This window comes from Homo sapiens, chromosome 8 (genome assembly GCF_000001405.40).
Source record: "Homo sapiens chromosome 8, GRCh38.p14 Primary Assembly".
NCBI lineage: Eukaryota > Metazoa > Chordata > Mammalia > Primates > Hominidae > Homo > Homo sapiens.
In genome coordinates, this window is record NC_000008.11 from 38,733,193 (window position 1) to 38,752,718 (window position 19,526).

General features: G+C 42.5%; 1 protein-coding gene across 31 annotated transcripts in view, besides 2 other annotated features; it reads left to right on the forward strand.

Annotated features, from left to right (window-relative positions):
* TACC1 (transforming acidic coiled-coil containing protein 1) overlaps positions 1 to 19,526 on the forward strand; it is a 124,447-nt gene that overhangs the window by 4,611 nt on the left and 100,310 nt on the right. For 5 of the 31 annotated variants that reach the window (NM_001352778.2, NM_001352780.2, XM_005273629.2 and 2 more), the window contains exon 2: positions 9,159 to 9,259. The exons of 18 other annotated variants lie outside the window; for them this stretch is intronic. In NM_001352778.2, coding sequence (NP_001339707.1) covers positions 9,238 to 9,259 — 22 coding nt within the window. In that variant the 5' untranslated portion in view covers positions 9,159 to 9,237. Of the gene's footprint in view, positions 1 to 3,680; positions 4,324 to 9,158; positions 9,260 to 11,702; positions 18,460 to 19,526 lie in introns of those variants that run through there. 8 more of the 31 variants (XM_047422141.1, XM_047422142.1, XM_047422145.1 and 5 more) reach the window with 5 other exon arrangements.
* Positions 1,217 to 1,716: an enhancer, noted in NCBI's record as "H3K27ac hESC enhancer chr8:38591927-38592426 (GRCh37/hg19 assembly coordinates)". NCBI's record gives its function as "activates a minimal SCP1, AML or CMV promoter by ChIP-STARR-seq in primed H9 embryonic stem cells {active_cell/tissue: H9 hESC(primed)}" and the evidence as "EXISTENCE:reporter gene assay evidence [ECO:0000049][PMID:30033119]".
* Positions 2,297 to 2,796: an enhancer, noted in NCBI's record as "H3K27ac hESC enhancer chr8:38593007-38593506 (GRCh37/hg19 assembly coordinates)". NCBI's record gives its function as "activates a minimal SCP1, AML or CMV promoter by ChIP-STARR-seq in naive H9 embryonic stem cells {active_cell/tissue: H9 hESC(naive)}" and the evidence as "EXISTENCE:reporter gene assay evidence [ECO:0000049][PMID:30033119]".

A 19,526-nucleotide genomic window follows, 5' to 3' on the forward strand; every position in this document is an offset into this window, starting at 1 on the left:
AGAGATCTCAGTCACACTCTAACAAGACAGAGACGATCCCAGCTGTGGACTCCCACCAAGCCCCGCTCTGCAATAAATACCCTCCATCTCTCATATCCAGAATTGATCCTCTTTTTTTTTTTTGGTCCATCAGAACCCCCTTTAACCAGCACTTGATGTTTAGCAAACTGTTTGAAAGTAATCAATGAATTCATACACTGGTGCAGCTCTCTTGGGGGACTTTTAGGCTTCAGTGTGACAGTGACTAGGGGAGATGCACTTAGGGCAGGGAGATTCCCAGGAAACCCCTGGCCAAATGCCACTGTAGTTATCTGTTCCCTGGTGGGAAAGGCACTCTCCTTTCTGATGGTCTGAGGTCCGGACTGCAGGCTTTTGCTGTGTTCCTTCATAGGAGGCTGCTTACCTGAATTTTCAGAACAATTCCTAGCACCAGCTCAGCAGGGACAGCACCCGGCAGCAGTAGGAAGCGGGTGTGATGTTCTTCCTGGGTGCCCAGAGCCCTCTCCCTCTGTCCTTTTTCTTGGTGGCCCCTCTCCCACCCCATTCCCAGCCTCTCCCAGGCTCCCCTTCCTTCCTCACCTCCAGGAAAGCCTCGAGGCTCTTAATTCACGGGACAACCTTAAAACGCACACTGGCCAAGCATGGGCGTGTTTATAACAAGAATCAAATTATTTTGCTGGAAACAAGAGGACAATGGAATTTAGGAATCAGCAGTTCTGGGAGAGTTTTTTAAAATGTTGGAATTCGGGTCCTCCTTAGACGTCCCTGCCTCAAATAATGCACTGTAAACCGTTCTCATTCATGGCCCATCAGTCATTGCGCAGGGTCCTAGTTTAATAAGTATGGGGAACTGGGGAAAGGAAGGGAAACCTGTTGCTCATCCCAGGCCTCCCAAGATTTTGGGGATGGCAAAGAGGGGAGGGCTTCCACATCTTCTGCACTTTCAGTCTTCTAGAGGCAATGAAGATACCAGATACCTTCTTCTTTAGTTTCAGCCTGTTTGTTTGTTTGTTTTTTCTAGACAGAGTCTTGCTCTGTCACCCATGCTGGAGTGCAGTGGTGTGATCTCGACTCACTGCAACCTCCGCCTCACAGGTTCAAGCGATTCTCCTGCCTCAGCCTCCTGAGTAGCTGGGATTACAGGCACCTGCCACCACACCAGCTAATTTTTGTAGTTTTGGTAGAGACGGGGTTTCACCATGTTGGCCAGGCAGGCTGGTCTTGAACTTCTGACCTCAGGTGATCCGCCCTCGTTGGCCTCCCAAAGTGCTGAGGTTATAGGTATGAGCCACACGCCTGGCCATAAGCCTGTGTTTTTAAAATGAGGTTCCAGGCAGATACAAGCAGAAAGGAAGAGTTGCAAAAGCAGACACGATACAGAACAAAATGCCCCAAGGTAGCAGGGAGGGCTTGGTATGTTTATTATGCAACAAAGGACTCTCCTGGCCCTTGGAACTTTCCATAGTTTGACTTTCGGGTTAATCATTACCATCTGCATGGCTGCTGGCAGCCGAGGCTTTGCTTGGCCTGCCGGGCCTGGCAGTCGCGTTGCTGGCCAGCCTGAGGGCTGCACTAGCCATAGTTAGCTGCGATGCCCCCTTGAGTTTCCTGCAGGAACAAGCAAGGGTGCCTGCGGCCTGCTGACGCAGGCTGGCGGGGAGTGGCTTGCCTTAGGCCTGTCTCCTTGTCTCTCACAGCTGGCTCTCCAGGGCCGGTCTGGTTTTCATAGTCTCACGTTTCCTTTTCCAGCACACTTGTGTGTGTCTGCATACCACGTGAGAACACAGCCTGCTCTCTTCCTTGGAGTGGCTGGATTTCCAGCAGGCACCACACGTGCTTGTTCAGATGCAAGGATACGTCATGGAAAAGAGAGGCCTGAATAGATGCATCTTAGTTCATACACAGCTGTCAGGACTTGAGGCACGCATCAGCAGAGCCTGGGAAAAAGCATGAGATCTGCTTTTAGAATCATGAGCACCAGAGCTGAAAGGGATCTTACTCTCTATTCGAAACCCTTCATTTCACAGCTTTGGAAAATGAGGCTTAAGACAGGTGGGGAGTTGCCTTGGGTCACAGAGCAAGGTCCAGGGGTCCTTCTATTTCTTGAAACCAAACTGGTTGTGTGGAGAGTCTTGAGAGGAAGCTAAAGTTACATGGGTGCTGGATTTTTCCATTTGGCCTTAGAAATCACTCTCCACCGTTTTCCACCCGCGCTGTGCCTGGGAGGCTGGCCAGACTGGCACCCTTACATCTGGCTTCCGGGTAGATTTAGCCAGAGGAGGGCACCTGCAGGTAGGTTTAGAGGGAGGGGAGTGTGTCATGGAGGATTTAGTCCACTTCTTCCTTTCCCGCTGCTTCCATGGGCTGGTGGTGTCCGCTGACTGAAGGCCAGGACTCCTGTCAGCAACCACCCCCTGCACTCAGCTCTCTCCCCTGACCCTTCAGGCCTAAGGCAGTGACAGCATCTCCTACAGTGGGCAGCCCTGGGCTACGCTGCTGTCTCCTGTGGCCTCCCAAACCCTCCTCAGACCTTTGTAAATGGTCCCTTTATTAAACCCTCAAGTCAAAGAGAGAGTGTTACCTGCTGGGCTCCTGACTGAAAGAATGGATCCTGACCCACCTGACAGGTGGCTTTGTTTGTTAGCATAAAAGAGAAAATCTGTAGGAAAGGAAGATGTCCCTGAAATTTAGGAAGAGGGTGTGTTAGTTTCCTGTGGCTGCTCTAACTAATGACCACGAACTTGGTAGCTTAAAACAGAACAAAACCAGAAATGCATTCTCTCCCAGTTCTGGAGGAGAAAACTGGGGTCTACCGGCCGGTACTCCCTCCAGTGGCTCCAGGAAATCATCTGGTCCTTGTCCCTTGCCTCCTTTGGTGTCTGGTGGCTGCCAGCATTCCTTGGCTTGTGGCCATGTCCTTTTGATGTTGACCTCCGTGGTGACACTGTGTGTATGAAATCTTCCTTTGCCTCTCTTGTATAATGATGCTTGGGGTTGCATTTAAGGCCCACCCAGATAATTCAGGATAGTCTCCCTCTCTCAGAAATCCTTAATTTCATCACATTAGCAAATACAGTAAGATATTTACAAATAATAAAACATTGTTCCAAATAAGATAACCTGGCTGGGCACTGTGGCTCATGCCTGTGTGGTGGCTCATGCCTATAATCCCAGTGCTTTGGGAGGCCGAAGAAGGAGGATTGCTTGAGCCCAGGAGTTCAAGATTAGCCTGGGCAACACAGTGAGACCCCTGTCTCTACAAAAAATAAAAAAATTACCCGGGCATGGTAGCACACGCCTGTAGTCCCAGCTACTTGGAAGGCTGAGGTAGGAGGATCGCTTGAGCTCAGGAGGTCAAGGCTGCAGGAAGCTATGATTGCACCACTGCACTCCAGCCTGGGCAACAGAGCATGACTCTGTCTCCAAAACAAAAGAATAAGATAATGATAACCTTTACAGGTTCCAGAGATTGGGACCTGATAAATTTGAAGTCATTATTCAGCCTCTGGCAGAGGGTGAGAGAGGCACATCAGAGTTCCTTCAGGACATCTCTAATGGCACACATTTATGGATACCTTCATGCTTGACAAAAGTAGTGACCAGTCTCTGGGGGCAGACACATTTTTGAGGATTCTGTTCAGCTCCATACTCTCTAATTCTCTTATCTTTTTGTCTGGCAGCCAGATATCATTGTGATGGTCCCATTCTGAAGCCAGCTGATTTGTTACCAGGCAAAGCACTCAGAGAAGACAACATAGTGGGCCGCGATGAGGACACAAAAATTGTGGAAGGGCCCAGCGTGGGGACATTTAGGGCATGGAAGTCATTTGACTCAAGGGTTGGATCCTAGAGGTCAAGAATTGGGAGGCCCTAAGAAATGACCTAGCTCAGCCACCTCCTTTACCAGGTGGGGAAAATTAGTCCTGATGTGGGAATTTCCTTATCCGCCGCTGGTCAGTGACAAGGCCCGGACTAAAACAGAAGTCTTGGCACTCAATCTAAGGACTTCTCCTCCGTGCCTCCCTATCACGCCTTCCCACCAACTGGCCTCCTCCCCAGCATCTGTGAGAATTCTTTGTAGGAATTCTACCCCCAATAGTTTCATTTACTGAAAGGCAGTGGGAATGTACTCGATGTCAAGTCTGTGATGCAGCATGAAAGAAGAAACAACACTGGGGACAGTGGCTTCGCTCAGTGCCACTCACAGTGCCAGTTCTCGATGAGATCAGGAGACTGGGCTGGAACAGAAATCTACATCCAGCTTCCTTCATGGAGAAAATCTTGCTGTGGAGGCCAGGCAGGGGAGCAGCAGTGCTTAGTGAGGTAACTGGCTTACCTTCTGCCACAGGCTCCTTATCTCAGCACTGGCCAGTGTGATGGTCCCTGGCTGGAGAACACCAGGAACAGCATTGCCTCACTGCTGCTTGAGCAAACCCACCTCCCAAATAGGGCATGGTGATAGAAGAATATGCAGAAAAGACAACAGTCCCTCTGTCCAGATCCCATCTAGACAATAGAGCTCAGATTGGGAGCCATTCTTTTTTTTTTTTTTGAGATGGAGTTTCGTTCTTGTTGCCCAGGCTGGAGTGCAATGGTGCGATCTCGGCTCACCGCAACCTCTGCCTCCTGGGTTCAAGCGATTCTCCTGCCTCAGCCTCCAAAGTAGCTGGGATTACAAGCATGTGCCTCCATGCCTGGCTAATTTTGTATTTTTAGTAGAGATGGGGTTTCTCCATGTTGGTCAGCCTCGTCTCAAACTTCTGACCTCAGGTGATCTGCCCGCCTCAGCCTCCCAAAGTGCTGGGATTATAGGCATGAGTCACTGCGCCCGGCCTGGGAACCATTCTTTAAGGGAGGTAATGATATTCTAGAGATCTTCCTGTAGTTCCTGACTCACAGAGCACAATTTTTGTGAAGATTAGAAGAGGCTAGGTGTGGTGGCTCACACCTTTAATCCCAACACTTTGGGAGGCTGAGGCAGGAGGAGCCCTTGACGCTAGGAGTTCAAGACCAGCCTGGGCAATATAGTGAGACACCCCCATCTCTCCAAAACATTAAAAAAAAAAATTAGTCGGGCGTGGTGGCAAGTGCCTGTAGTCCCAGCTACTTGGTAGGCTCAGGCAGGAGGATCTCTTGAGCCTGGGAGTTCGAGGCTACAGTGGAGCCTCGGCTTCCCAAAGTGCTGGAATTATAGGTGTGAGCCACCATGCCTGGCTACATAAATTATTTGGAATTCCATCATGGACATTTGTCTCTTCTCTTCATTTATTTATTTGTTTAATCACTAACTTATATTTGTAGGGGCTTGTGGATTTCTTTTAATACTTTGAGTTGTAATCAAATACTGATTTATTAATCTTGTTGCTCAAATTGTTCCAGCTTCGCCCATTGAGCGCTCTCTCATTTGGCTTCTGTGTCCCTTTGCTAGACCCCATTATTGTGGGTCTTGGTGTTGTATTTGTGTTTTGAGCACTTTTTTTTTTTTTAACCTTCTGGTTCTACAAGATACTCCAGGCTCATCTTATATGTTCCCTGACCAAGTCCTAGAATCAGCCATTTCTTCAAGTATCCCTGGTTCCTTTCGTTGGTGCATGGTGTTGAAAACCAAAATCTTGGTGCTAGATGTGCTTGTTGATACTGGGGTGCCATTGGTTCTAGGCCCTCTCAGCTGATAGGGCAAGGAGGTATATGTGTGTGTGCTGACTTCTTTTTTTTGAGACTGAGCTCACACTCTGTCGCCCAAGCTGGAGTGCAGTGGCACAATCTCGGCTCACTGCAACCTCCGCCTCCCAGGTTCAAGCGATTCTCCTGCCTCAGCCTCCTGAGTAGCTGGGATTACAGGCACCTGCCAACATGCCCGGCTAATTTTCGTATTTTTAGTAGAGATGGGGTTTCCCCATGTTGACCAGGCTGGTCTCCAACTCCTGACCTCGTGATCTGCCTGCCTTATGCTCCTGAAGTGCATGGGCCACTGCACCCAGCCCATGTGTGCTGACTTCTATGTGTAACCATCTGTATCTATATTAAGCTAAACATGAATTCATACTGATGTCTATAACTCTAATTCATTGTCATATGGGTCACTGTAGACCTCCCCTTGCTTACCTGTAACTTTCCACTACAACCTGAAACCTGGCTCCCACCATCTGCCATTCATCCACTCAATTGTTCAACTGCAATGTACACATATAGTGGTATTAGAGTGGTTAACGTGGATCCCCATGAGAAGCAACTTTATCAACCAGATGTCAGTGCTTACATACAGTTTCTTTTGCCTTTCGTCTTAACGGACTCCACTCATTCCTAAAGTTACTTAGGTCAACAGTTTTTCCCTACACCATTTTCGGTGCAGTTGTTTTACACATTTGTAATACAGTTAGATTGATTTGTCACAGTCGGCATTTCATCTGCATTTCCTCTGACTGCCTAAATGATTTTTCTTTGATTTGCATACGTAAAGGTTCACTTTCTGTGTTGTAAAGTTCTATGTGTTTTGACAAATGCATAGTGTCCTGTTTCCACCATTACAGTATCATATAAAACAGTTTCACACCCTAAAAATCCCCTGTGGTTCACCTATTAAGACTTACTGAGGAGTAACACCTAGGGGAGGAGAAGGACAGAAAGCAGGACTGGATAATAGAGCCTTCAGGCTGTGATGCAGGAAAAACAAAGTTTCTGCCTGCCCCATGGGGAGCACCATAGCAAAGCTTGGCCCTTAGAGAGTACCCTGTTGGGCAGCAGTGGCCAGGACTTTATCCTACTGCCTTGCTCAGCCATTGTTTGGGGCTGCCAGAGAAGACTGATTTCAGCTCAAGAGAAGAGACAGACCCAGAAGGCACTAACAGCTGGAGGTTCTCAGCTAACCACATTCCTTGAAGCTGGGTTGCTAAGTCCTTTCTTGGCGAGAGATCTGAGTGCTGTAACTCTGGGTCTGCCAGAAATATCTCTGAGGATTCCAAGCAGGGGTTGGCTGACCACTGGTCAGGAATCTTGAGCTGAGGATTCCTCCATCACGTGGGATTTGGGACCAGATGATCCCATTGGCTGCCTTCAGCCTGCTTGAATCCAGGTGATCCAGCCATTCCATTCCACACATTCAGCCCACTTTGCTCAAGCCTCTGCTTCCCTTCTTGCATTAATTATCTTATGCTCTGCTGCATCCTAGAGGTAGGCTCAGAACACCTCCTTTTCCCCAGGGACCATTCCTGGAGGGCCAGAGAAGCCAGAAGACAGAGTCTAGGGTTGCCCGCACCTTTTTGATCCCAAATGTGGCTGTCTGCACCTTTTTGATCCCAAATGCTCAAGAAAGTGGTTACAGTATCCATAGCAATATAGATCAAGGAGTTGAATGCACATAAAAAGCATAAAAAGTTTGTGATGATGGGCAAAAAAATGGAAACATTCTAAGCTAAGACTTCAAAAACTAAATCTTTGTCTGAAATGTCTCCTCCCTGTGGAATGTGCAAAAAGCAAAACAGCACTCCCTACTGATCTATCCATATACTATATCTGGCAGGTACCATTCTTTTATTTTCTTCCATCTTAACTCTCATTCTCATGGTGCTCCTGGATTTCCATTTGCAGGCACAGAGTCATTTTAGTGCAATTCTGATCTTTCTCCGCAGGAAGATGGAAAACTTTCAGACCTCTTGGAGAAAGCATGGCTCTGATGTTGTGCTCTATCTGTGCTTATTCTTCCTTGTATTTAACTTGCTTAAGGTTAAAAGCCTGTTGTGTTTTGTTGTACCTTGGCAGCTCTCTCTGGCTCGCGAGTATCCTAAAGTCACTATATGGCCTCTAAGGACAGTCTTGACTTCTAAGCCAAAAGAACCTTTTATTTTACTTTGTCTGTCTTTAGAGATTTCCTTTGAATGTTTGCTTCTGTTCTGCAGCATTTTCAGGCTCTGTAGACCTTGATTGTTTTGCTCAGCCAGGGCATTTAAAAAAATACTCATGCTGCTATTTTTTTTTTTTTTTTGAGACGGAGTCTCCCTCTGTTGTCCAGGTTGGAGTGCAGTGGCATGATCTCTGCTCACTACAACCTCCACCTCCTGGGTTCAAGCAGTTCTCCTGCCTCAGCCTCCCAAGTAGCTAGGATTACAGGCACCCGCCACCATGCCTGGCTGATTTTTTTTGTATTTGTAGTAGAGATGGGGTTTCACCATGTTGGCCAGGCTGGTCTCAAACTCCTGACCTCGGGTGATATGCCTGCCTCTGCCTCACAAAGTGCTGGGATTACAGGCAGGAGCCGCCGCGCCTGGCCCATGCTGTTATTTTTACACAGTGAACCATGAATACTGATTTTAATTCCAAAGGCTCACAAATTAAAGAGCTTCCTTGAACCCTGGCCCTCAGGATTCTTTCAGTCTCCTGGTTTTTCTGTCTGCTTTGTCATTTCTCAGTGGAATGACTAAAGCCAGAACCTGCTGGGTTAGTGAATGGAAATAAAGTATTGGTGGATGTACTCTTCCTGCCCTGCCCGTCCAAGACTAGACTGTGGGGTTGGAATCCATGTTTCAATACCCAAACACTGCACCAGCTCACGACTACAAAATTAGATGAGACCCAAAAAAATACAAAGAGTCAATATTCCAAGAAGATACTTGCGGTTACTGGGTCCAAGATGTTTGAATTATAGGTAGACTCTATCTCTGCCAGGGACTGAAATACGGCCAGGGCATAAAAAATAGCCTGTTTAAAAAAAAATCAATAAAAATCTCAGAAAGAGCACACTGTCCCTGGACCATTATATACAAAAAGAAATGACAAGTAAATGGAACAAAACAAAAGAAGTTTATAAACACAAATGCTTTTATTCCTCTCTCTGAAAATACAGACTGACACTGTACACTTGGCAGCTGTTTCCACAGCAGGGAAGCAGGGTCACAGGTCTGAAGCATGAGTTCTCTTCTGGAAACCACCTACTGATTATAGGTGACAGTTGCATCACCTTGAAATGGAGGAACAAAGACTTTTTTTTGCCAGAATTTGGCATTGCTAGCACAAAGTGTTAGAAAACGGTGACACACAGAGTGGCTGGTAGAACTGCAGAGGAATTTCTGAAAGTGAGCCTTAGGCAAAAGGTTGGAAACTTGTGCTGGAAACTTACCTTATGATTAAGCATGTGACTCCCACCTGACTTAATTCTCTTCCAGTCCCAAGGGTTCCAAGGCCAGAGAGAGGTCCTGGTCTTGATTGCTGGCATGTTTACTCTTCCAAGTACACTGAGATCAAATGCAAAGACAAACCATCAAAGGTAATTCTTTTCTTTGACATTGAATATACCTGGGATGGATTTTAAAGTAAAAATTTTTATTTCCTAGTGAAAAATAACAGATATGTAATCTTTGTATTTGGATTAAGTGTGAATGAAGGAAATAATGATCGAGGAAAGAACAAAGAACTGGGTGGTGGTGATGCAAGCTGAGTCCTGGTTCTGGCTTTGCTACTAACTATAACTTGGGCAAGTCTGTACTTCTGCTGCATAGAATATATTTACTTATTTCTTTTTTTGCTTGTTTGTTTTGATTTTATTTCGAGACAGAGTTTCACTCTGTCACCCGGGCTGGAGGGCAGTGGCACGATCTCGGCTCACTGCAACTTTCGTCTCCCAGGTTCAAGCAATTCCCCTGCCTCAGCCTCCCGAGTAGCTGGGGCTACAGGTGAGCACCACCGCAACTGGCTAATTTTTGTATTTTTACTAGAGACAGGGTCTCACCATGTTGGCCAGGCCGGTCTCGAACTCCTGACCTCAAGAGATTCACCTGTCTTGACCTCCCAAAGTGCTGGGATTATAGGCGTGAGCCACTGCACCCAGCCAACTTACTTCTTTACTTGTGTAAATGAAAGAAGGTAGAACTACATGGCCTCTGAGGGCCTTTCCAGCTCTGTTCTGTGAGTCAGTTTCTTATTTTTTATTTTTCATTGTTTAGGCAGTGCCAAAACAATAATGTCAGGTGGGTTAGGGTACAGATTTGCAAGACGTTCATCCTGAGGCTGGTAGCAGGCCCCAAAAAACTCTTACCTCATCCATCATTTTTGCAAAGATGAATTCAGAGTAAGACAGACATCAAGGTAGGCATTCAGTATATATTTGTTGAATGAATGAATGAATGAATGAATGAATGAATAACTCAGGCAGCCTTGAGGAGGAAGAGAAAGGAAACATTCTGCCAGAAGAAATACAAGAGGAAATGTATTTGGGACAGGGGATGGATTTGCTTGATGATAATGGTTGGGGGGCAGTTTTATAGACATTTTCAGCTGCAGCTGAACTTTAGGCCTGGGCAGTGTTAGGGTTAGGGCTAGTTTACAGAGCACTCCTTATCTATAGAGTAGGGTGAAATGATTGCTGGCAAGGCTGCCAAGAAATACAGTTCTTCCAGGTACAGGTGGCTTAACTACAAGATAATGGTACTCTTTTTCTCCTCAATTTAATAATGAGTATTAATTAGGATTTGATCTGGCTGAGTGTCATAGAAACTCAAAATAATAGTGACTAAATGATATATATGTTTATTTTTCTCTCCCATAAAAGAAATCTGGGCCAGGCTTAATGGCTCATGCCTGTAGTCTCAGCTATTTGGGAGGATGAGGCAGGAGGATCACTTGAGCCCAGGAGTTGGAGGTTGCAGTGAGCTATGATTACACCACTGCACTCTAGCCTGGGCAACAGAGTGATACCCTGTTAAAACAAAACAGAACAAAAAAGAATTCTGGGTGGGCAAGATAGGGCAGGTTCAGAGCCTCCATGGTTTCAGGGATTCAGGCTCCTTTAACCTCAGCACATGGCTTGTACTTCAAGATTAATTATGGCTGCTTGACGACTGGTCCGAAGGTAGTGAGTTATGTCAATTGATTGTCCACAGTCAGTTACAGATCAGACTCCTTATTCTACTCTATCCCCCTTCTCACTAATGCACTCGACAGGTCTTGAAAAATAGTATGTGGCTGCTTGAATTCAGCGATCCCATCAGTATCACAGCCAGCAGGGAAAAGAAAAGACCAATAAAGGGCTCACCTCCGCACTCCCCATTCATGACACTTCCTGGAAGTTGAACTTGACACTTCTATTTTCTTTTTTCCTTTTTTTGTATTTTTAGTAGAGACGGGGATTCACCATCTTGGCCAGGCTGGTTTCGAACTCCTGACCTCAGGTGATCCACCCGTCTCAGCCTCCCAAAGTGCTGGGATTACAGGCAGGAGCCACCGCACCGAGCCTGACACTTCTATTTACATCCCATTGACTAGAACCTAGTTACTTGGCCAAACTTAGGTGTCATGGAGACTGGGAAATGCAGCTTTTCTTCATAATAGCTGTGTGCCTAGCTATCAGGGTTGGGTTTTGTTTATTTGTTTGTTTGTTTGTTTTACTTAGAGAGAAAGGGAGAAGTGATACTAGGAAATAGTAGCTTCTGCCACTTTGAGAGATGACAGACTTATTCCAACCACATGATGATGCCCCCATTGCTCAATTCCTTTGGCCTGGATCACTTAAAATTGCCCATCAGGGTCCATAGGAACTATTTTCGGTATTCTTTGATTTTAAAAGTAGTTCAAGTCCACACAGGACAGCTGTGATGAGTAGTCGGCCGGGGGTGGGGGCGGGTAATAAAACTGAATATGACCATAAGAATAATATATGGGCTTCTGCTTCTGGGTATTATAGATAATTCTGGGTATTATGACCATTCCTGCAGAAAATAACTCTAAAATCTGGACATGATATACAAAGTGACTGCCTAAAGGAGCTGAAGAGAGGACATAAGTGGATCGCCTCTGCTGTTGCATGTTGGCTTGGAGAACAGAAGATGAGGAGCCAAATAAGCAAGTCCTTCAGCCCCAGGCTTCTAGCACGGGGCTGCATGTAGGCTATGCATTCTGGGGAGTGAGGAGATCATGAATGCTGAAAATAAATGAAGGAATCCAGAAAAGCAAGAGTCAAAGAAGGCATCTGCAGGCCAAATCTCTGATCAACCCCTGACCCACATACACACAAAATACACTCAAAGCAGCTCAGCTAAAGACAAAGATCTGCACTCAGAGTAGAGCTGCCTCCCCAGAAACAGAGCTCGCAGTTCAGGCCCAGCAAGAAAATTACCTGCAAAACAAAGGAAAAACAACACTCATCAGAGAAAAAGAACAGAATCTGGAATCTTCACAACCTAGCATTCATCATATCCAAGATTGAAACCCAAATTATGGGACATATTTAAAAACCAGGAAAATGGAACGTAGTCTTAAGAGAAAAGTCAATCAAATCTGACCTGGAGATGAATAATATATTGAAACTTAAAAGGCAAGGGTTTTAATTTTTGTTTTCTTGTTTTTTTTCTGTTTGTTTGTTTGTTTTTGTTTTTGTTTTTTGAGATGGAATCTTGCTCTGTCGCCCAGGCTGGAGTGCAGTGGCGCAATCTTGGCTCACTGCAGCCTCTGCCTCCTGGGTTCAAGGAATTCTCCTGTCTCAGCCTTCCGAGTAGCTGGGACTACAGGCGCACGCCACCACACCCAGCTAATTTTTGTGTTTTTAGTAGAGACAGGGTTTCACCATATTGGTCAGGCTGGTCTTAAACTCCTGACCTCAGGTGATCCACCTGCCTCGGCCTCCCAAAGTGCTGGCATTACAGGCATGAGCCACCGCACCCAGCCTTGTTTTCTGGGGTTTTGTTGAGATGAGGTCTCACTCTGTCACACAGGCTGGAGTGTAGTGGTGCGATCCCAGCTCACTGCAGCTTTAAACTCCTGGGCTCAAGCAATCCTTTTGCCTCAGCTAGCATGCTCAGTTAATTTTTAAATATTTTTTGTAGACATGGGGTCTTGCTATGTTGCCTAGGCTGGTCTTAAACTCCTGGCTTCAAGCAATCCTTCCACCTTGGCCTCCCAAAGTGGTAGGATTATAGGTGTAAGCTCTCCTGCCCAGCCGGCAAGGGCTTGAAAGTGTTATGTTATTTTATAGTTTTAGGAGGTTTTGTAGCTCTCTATGATGAAGTTTAAAAATTAAGAAAAAAAGCTTGTTTTTGATTAATCGAAATCTCAGCACAGAAATGGGACATTTCATCAGAGAAATAGATACAATGAAGAAGAGCCAAATGGAAAGCCCCCTTTTTTGGTTGCTCTTTTTCTGCTTTCAAGGTTTATATTAGCTTGACTTAGATGTGCCTTGGAGTGGACTTCGTTATGTCCCTTCTGCTTAGTGTTTGTCTAATATCTTGAATCTGCAAATCTCTGACTTTCATTACAGCTGGGAAGTGTTTGGTTATTATTTCTTTAAATATTTTTTCTACTTGAGTTTCTTCTCTCCCTCTGAGATTTCAATTACATGTATGTTTGTTTGATATCATCTAACAAGTCTCTGAGATTTTGTTCATTATGTTCTAAGTCTTTTTCCACTCTGTTACTCATTTTGAGTAATTTTGATTGATCTGTCTTAAAATTTACTCTTTCCTTTAACATGTCCACTTGGCTGTTAACTCCATCTGGTGAATTTTCTACTTAAGAAATTATACTTTTCAGCTGTAGAATTTACATGAAGAAGTACATTATCAACTGTAAATGGGCCATGAAAAGTTAAGGTTGAATTTTGTAATTTATAAATCAACTATTAAACAGTGCAGAATAGCTGTAAAGCATCAGGAAAATTAAAATAGAATATATCTTAAAATATTAAGTAATTTTTAAAGGCGGGAAATAAGAAATGAAGAAACAAATGTCAGAGGAGACAAATAGAAAACAAAATAAAACAAAAATGATAGACTCATACCCAACCATTTCAAAAATTACATTGAACATTTATGAGCTAAACACTCCAATTAAAAGACAGAGATTAATAATTGTTTTTAAATGGATACAAAAACAATTATAACATCTCACCAAAGAAGATACACAGATGCCAAAAAATTTGAAAAGCTGTTTAATAGTATATGTTATTAGGTAATTACAAATTAAAACAACAATGAGATACCACTACACATCTACTAGAATAGCCAAAATTCAAAATGCTAACAACACCAAATGCTGGTAAGGATGTGGAACAACAGAAACTGTCATTCATTGTTGATGGGAATGCAAAATGGTTTGGCCACTTTGAAAGACAGTTTTGACAGTTTCTTGCAAAACGAAACATACTTTTACCATATGATTCAACAATCTTACTCCTGGGTATTTACCCAAATGAGCTGAAAACTTATGTCCACACAAAACCCTGCACATGGATGTTTATAGCAACTTTATTCATAATTGCCAAAAGCTGGAAGCAATCAAGATGTCCTTCAGTAGGCAAATGGATAAACCGTGATATATCCAGACAATGGAATATTATTCAGTGTTAAAAAGAAATGAGCTGTCAAGCCATGAAGACATGGAGGAATGTTAAATGCATATTACTAACTGAAAAAAGCCAATTTGAAAGGGCTGTGTACTGGATGGGTCAAACTATACGACATTCTGGAAAAGGCAAAACCATGGAGACAAAAAGATCAGTAGTTGCCAAGGGTTGGGCAGAGGCAAGGATGAATAGATGAAACATAGAAGATTTTTAAAGGAGTGTAACTATTCTATATGATACTGTCATGGTGGCTATATGTACATAAATACATTAGACATTTGTCAAAACTCATAGAATGTATAATACCAAGAGCAAACTCTAATGTAAACTACGGACTTTGGATAATAATGATACATCAGTGTAGGTTCATTGATTGTAGCAAATGCACCACTCTGGTATGGGATGTTGATAGTGGGGAGGCCATATGTGTAGGGGTAGGGGGTGTGTGGGAACTGTCTGTACTTTCATCTCAATTTAGCTGTGAATCTAAAACTGCTCTAAAAAAATAAAATCCATTTTTTAAAAACCTAAATATAAACTATGTGCAAAGACATACTTTCAATATAAAGACAGAAGGAAACCAAATATAGATGGATAGAAAAAGATATATCATGTAAATAGTAAGCACAAGAAAGCTGGAGTGGCTACATTAGTATCAAATAAAAATAGATTTCTAAAAAAAAGTATCATAAAAGATAAAGAAGGGCACTTTAGAAGAAGAAAAGGAATAATTGATCAAGATGACATAAAATTTACAAATTTATTTGTGCCTAATAATAGTCTCAAATTACATAAGGCAAAAACTGATAGAATGAAAGGAAGAAATAGGCAATTATAATTGGAAATTTTAATGTCTCTCAGAAGTTGATAGAGTAACCAACAAAAAATCAGCAGACAGAAAACCTGAACAACATTATCAGTCACTTTGACCTAATTAATATTTTTAGAACATTTCACTCAGCAATAGCAAAATGCACATTCTTTTCAAGTGCACATGGAATGCTTACCAAGATAGACCACATTCTGGACCATAAAAAAGTTTTAATAAATATTAAAAAGGTTGAAATCAAATAGTTTGTTCTCTGACCACAATGAAATTAAATTGGAAACCAAAAACAATAAGATAACTAGGAAAACCCCAAGCATTTGGAAACTAAGCAACACACTTCTAAATATTTATTGGGCTAAAGACTAAATCACAAGAGAGATTGAAAATATTTTGCCCTGATGATAATATAAATACACATTTCAAAATTTGTGCAATGTAGCTAACATAGCACTTTGAGGGAAATTTACAGTTTTGAAAGCCTATACGAAGTGGGGAAAGTTCTTAAATCAATGATCTTAATTTTCACTGTTAAAAAATAGAAAAAAAAGAGTAAATTGAACTCAAAGCAAGCAGAGGAAGAAAATAATAAAGATAATGACAGACATCAATGAATTAGAGAACGAAAAAAAGAGATAAAAAAATCATTAAAAGCAAAAAGCAGTCCTTTGAAAAAACTAATAAAATTGATAAATCTCAAGACTGACTGGCAAAGAAAAAAAAATGAACAATATCAAGAATGAGAGAAGGGACATTATTACTTTGGATATTAAAAGAATAACAATTCTCTATTGTTATGAACAACTTTATGACATTAAATGTGTCACAGATGAAATGAACACATTCTGGGAAATACATAAATTATAAATCTAATCAAAGATGAAATAGAAAGCTTGAACAGCCCTGTATCAATTAAAGATATTGAATTTGTAATTAAAAACTTACTGAGAGAATTCTGGGTTTAGATGCTTCATTGATGAATTCTGACAAACATTTATGAAAAAATAATACCAATCCTACAAAAACTGTTTAAGAAAATAAAGGAGGAGGCATGATTTTATGATGCAGTATTATTCTAATTCTACAGCCAGATGAAGACATCTTAAGAAAAAAACTACAGTCCAATATCCCTCATGAATATAAATGCAAAAATCCTCAACAAAATATTAGCAAGCCAAATCCAGCAGCATAAAAAAGGTTATACACTATGATCAAGGGGCAATGCAAAGTTTTTTTTTGTTTGTTTTGTTTTTTGGGTTTTTTTTGAGATGGAGTCTCAGTCTGTCGCCCAGGCTGGAGTGCAGTGGTGTGATCTCAGCTCACTGTAACCTCTGCCTCCCAGGTTCAAGCGATTCTCCTGCCTCAGCCTCCTGAGTAGCTGGGATTACAGGCACGCACAACCACGCCTGGCTAATTTTTGTATTTTTAGTAGAGACAGGGTTTCACCATGTTGGTCAAGCTGGTCTCGAACGCCTGACCTCATGATCCACCCACCTCAGTCTCCCATAGTGCTGGGATTACAGGTGTAAGCCACCGCGCCTGGCCAATGCAAAGTTGTTTTAACAGCTGACAGTTAATCAATGTAATTCAACAAATTAATAGAATAAAGACAAAAACACAGACACAGTGGTGCAATGTAGCTAACATAGTACTTAGAGGGAAATTTATCATTTTGAAAGCCTATAAGAAGGGGGTAAAAGGTCTTTTAGTCCTAGCCACTCAGGAGACTGAGGCAGGAGGTTTGTTGGAGACCAGGAGTTCAAGGCTATAGTGCACTATCATTGCACCTGTGAATAGCCACTGCATTCCAGCCTGGGCAACATAGCAAGATCCTGTCTCTTAAAGAAAAAAAGGAAGAAGGTGAAAACAATATGATCAGTTCAATAGGTGCAGCAATAGCATTTGTCAAAATTCAACTCCTTTTTATCATTAAAAAATCTTTCAGCAAATTAAGAATAAATTAAAACTTCCTCAACCTGATTAAGGGCATCTACAAAATCTGTCAGCTAACATCCTACTACAATGTGAAAAATCAATGCTTTCTACCTAAGACGAGGTAGAGGGCAAGGATGTTGGCTCTCATCATTTTTATTTAACTTAAATTGTATAGGAGTGCCTAGTCAGTGCAACAAAGCAAGGGAAAAATAAGGCATACATGCTAGAAAGAAATAAGTAAAATTGTCCTTATCTACAAGTGACATTGTATAGAAAACCCTAAGAAACCCACAATAAAAGCTATTAGAGGTACAAGGTTGCAGGATAAAATATACAAAAATCAATTCAAGGTTGCAGGATAAAATATACAAAAATCAATTCTGTCTCACATACTAGCAACTAACATTTAGAAAGTTAAGTTATAAGACACTTTGTTTACAATAGCATAAAATACTTAGCAAAAGACATGTATGACCTGTAGGCTGAAAACAATAAAACATGACAGGAAGATCTGCATAAATGAACAGCTATACCGTGTTCATGGATTCAAAGTCTCAATATTGTTAAGCTGGCAATCCTTTTTGAATTATTCAATAAATTCAATGCAATTCCCACGAAAATCGTAACTTTTTTTTTGAAAAAAATTTGCAAGAGTATTTTAAATTTTATATGGGAAGTCAAAGGACCTAGTATAGCCACATCGTTTTGAAAGAGGAGAACAATATTGGAACACTTCAGCTACCTGATTTCAAGAACAATATGTGGCTCTGAAGGAATGAACCAATTTTATTCTTTGATCTATAAATTGGCATTTAAATAATTTCCAAATGAGGAGAGATGGGTAGCTCTGAGATAAGCATGTGACTTCCCAAGGTGGCCAATTTGAAGGGTAATTCTCCTTTGGGATGATTGCTAAGGGAAAAAAAAAATCCATGTTGAACATAAGGTTTGTAATCAAGACAACTGGATTTAAATATTGGATGCACCATTCAGCTCTCTAAAACTGAGTATCTTCATCTTAAAATGGGATGTGCAGTGTAAGGATTAAGGCAGTAAAGTATAGAGGCTAAGCCGTGTGCTATAGCACTGGAGCTATCTTACCCAGGTTTGAATCTAGCTTGGCCATTTTCTAGCTATGTGGCCTTGGGTATGTTTAACCTTACTTTGCTTCATCTTGCTCATTTGTACAAGCACTGCTCGTTTTATTGCATTTCACTTTATTGCACTTCACATATATTGCATTTCTTACAAATTGAAAGTTTTTGGCAACCTTGTGTGGGATAAGTCTATTGGTGCCATTTTTCTAACAGCATGTACTCACTTCATGTCTCTGTGTCAGCATTTTTTAGCAATAAAGTATTTTTTAAATCAAGGAATGTACATTTTTTGGACATAATGCTATTGCACACTTAACAGACTATCATATAGTGTAAACATAACTTTTATATGCACCGAGAAACCAAAAATTTTGTGTGATTCGCTATATTGCAATATTCACTTTATTGCAGTGGTGTGCAATGGAACCTGCAATATTTCTGAGGTATGCCTGTAAACGAGAATACTAAAAGTGCCTAGCCATAGGGTTGTGGTGAACAGTAAATGAGTTAATAAATCTAAAGCACTTAGAACAGAATCTGAGCACATAAAAAGTGCTCTATAAGTATTACCCACTGTTATTTTTTTCCTGGTGCTATGAGGCCCGAATGTGGTTACTTTCGTTAACCACCAAGCGTAGTTCCTAGTATCCAACAAATGTTAGTGCCCATCCCTCTGCAGAGCATAAGTAGCATTCTGGGGGTAGCGTTTGACACTGAAGGATGTATTTCGCAATCTTATAGGCAATCTTGAGTTTCAACAGCTTAAATTTTCTTTCCTTGCTATTTTTCCAATGTTTAAAGAATACCTTCTTGGCCAGGCACTGTGGCTCATGCCTGTAATCCCAGCACCTGACAGGCTGAGGCAGGCAGATTGCCTGAGCTCAGGAGTTCACAACCAGCCTGGGAAACACAGTGAGACCCCGTCTCTACTAAAATACAAAAAAATTAGCCAGATGTGGTGGCGTGTGCCTGTAGTCGCAGCTACTCGGGAGGCTGAGGGAGGAGAATTGCTTGAACCCAGGAGGCGGAGGTTGCAGTGAGCACAGATTGCACCACTGCACTCCAGCCTGGGCGACAGAGCGAGACTCTGTCTCAAAACAAAAATAAAAACAAAAACAAAACCCCAAAAACCCCAAAACCAAAAAACAACAAAAAAAACCTTCTTGACCGAATTGTTATGTGCGAGTGGAAACCTTAACCACGGACATGAAATTCTACCCCACTTGGACTCCATCACAGGCCATGTGTCCTCTTTGGCTCCAGCTGGTCATTGTATTCAGCAGCCCACTGACCCAGAGACTAACAAATAAGGGCTGCCTCCTTCCCTCTCTTTTCATTCTCC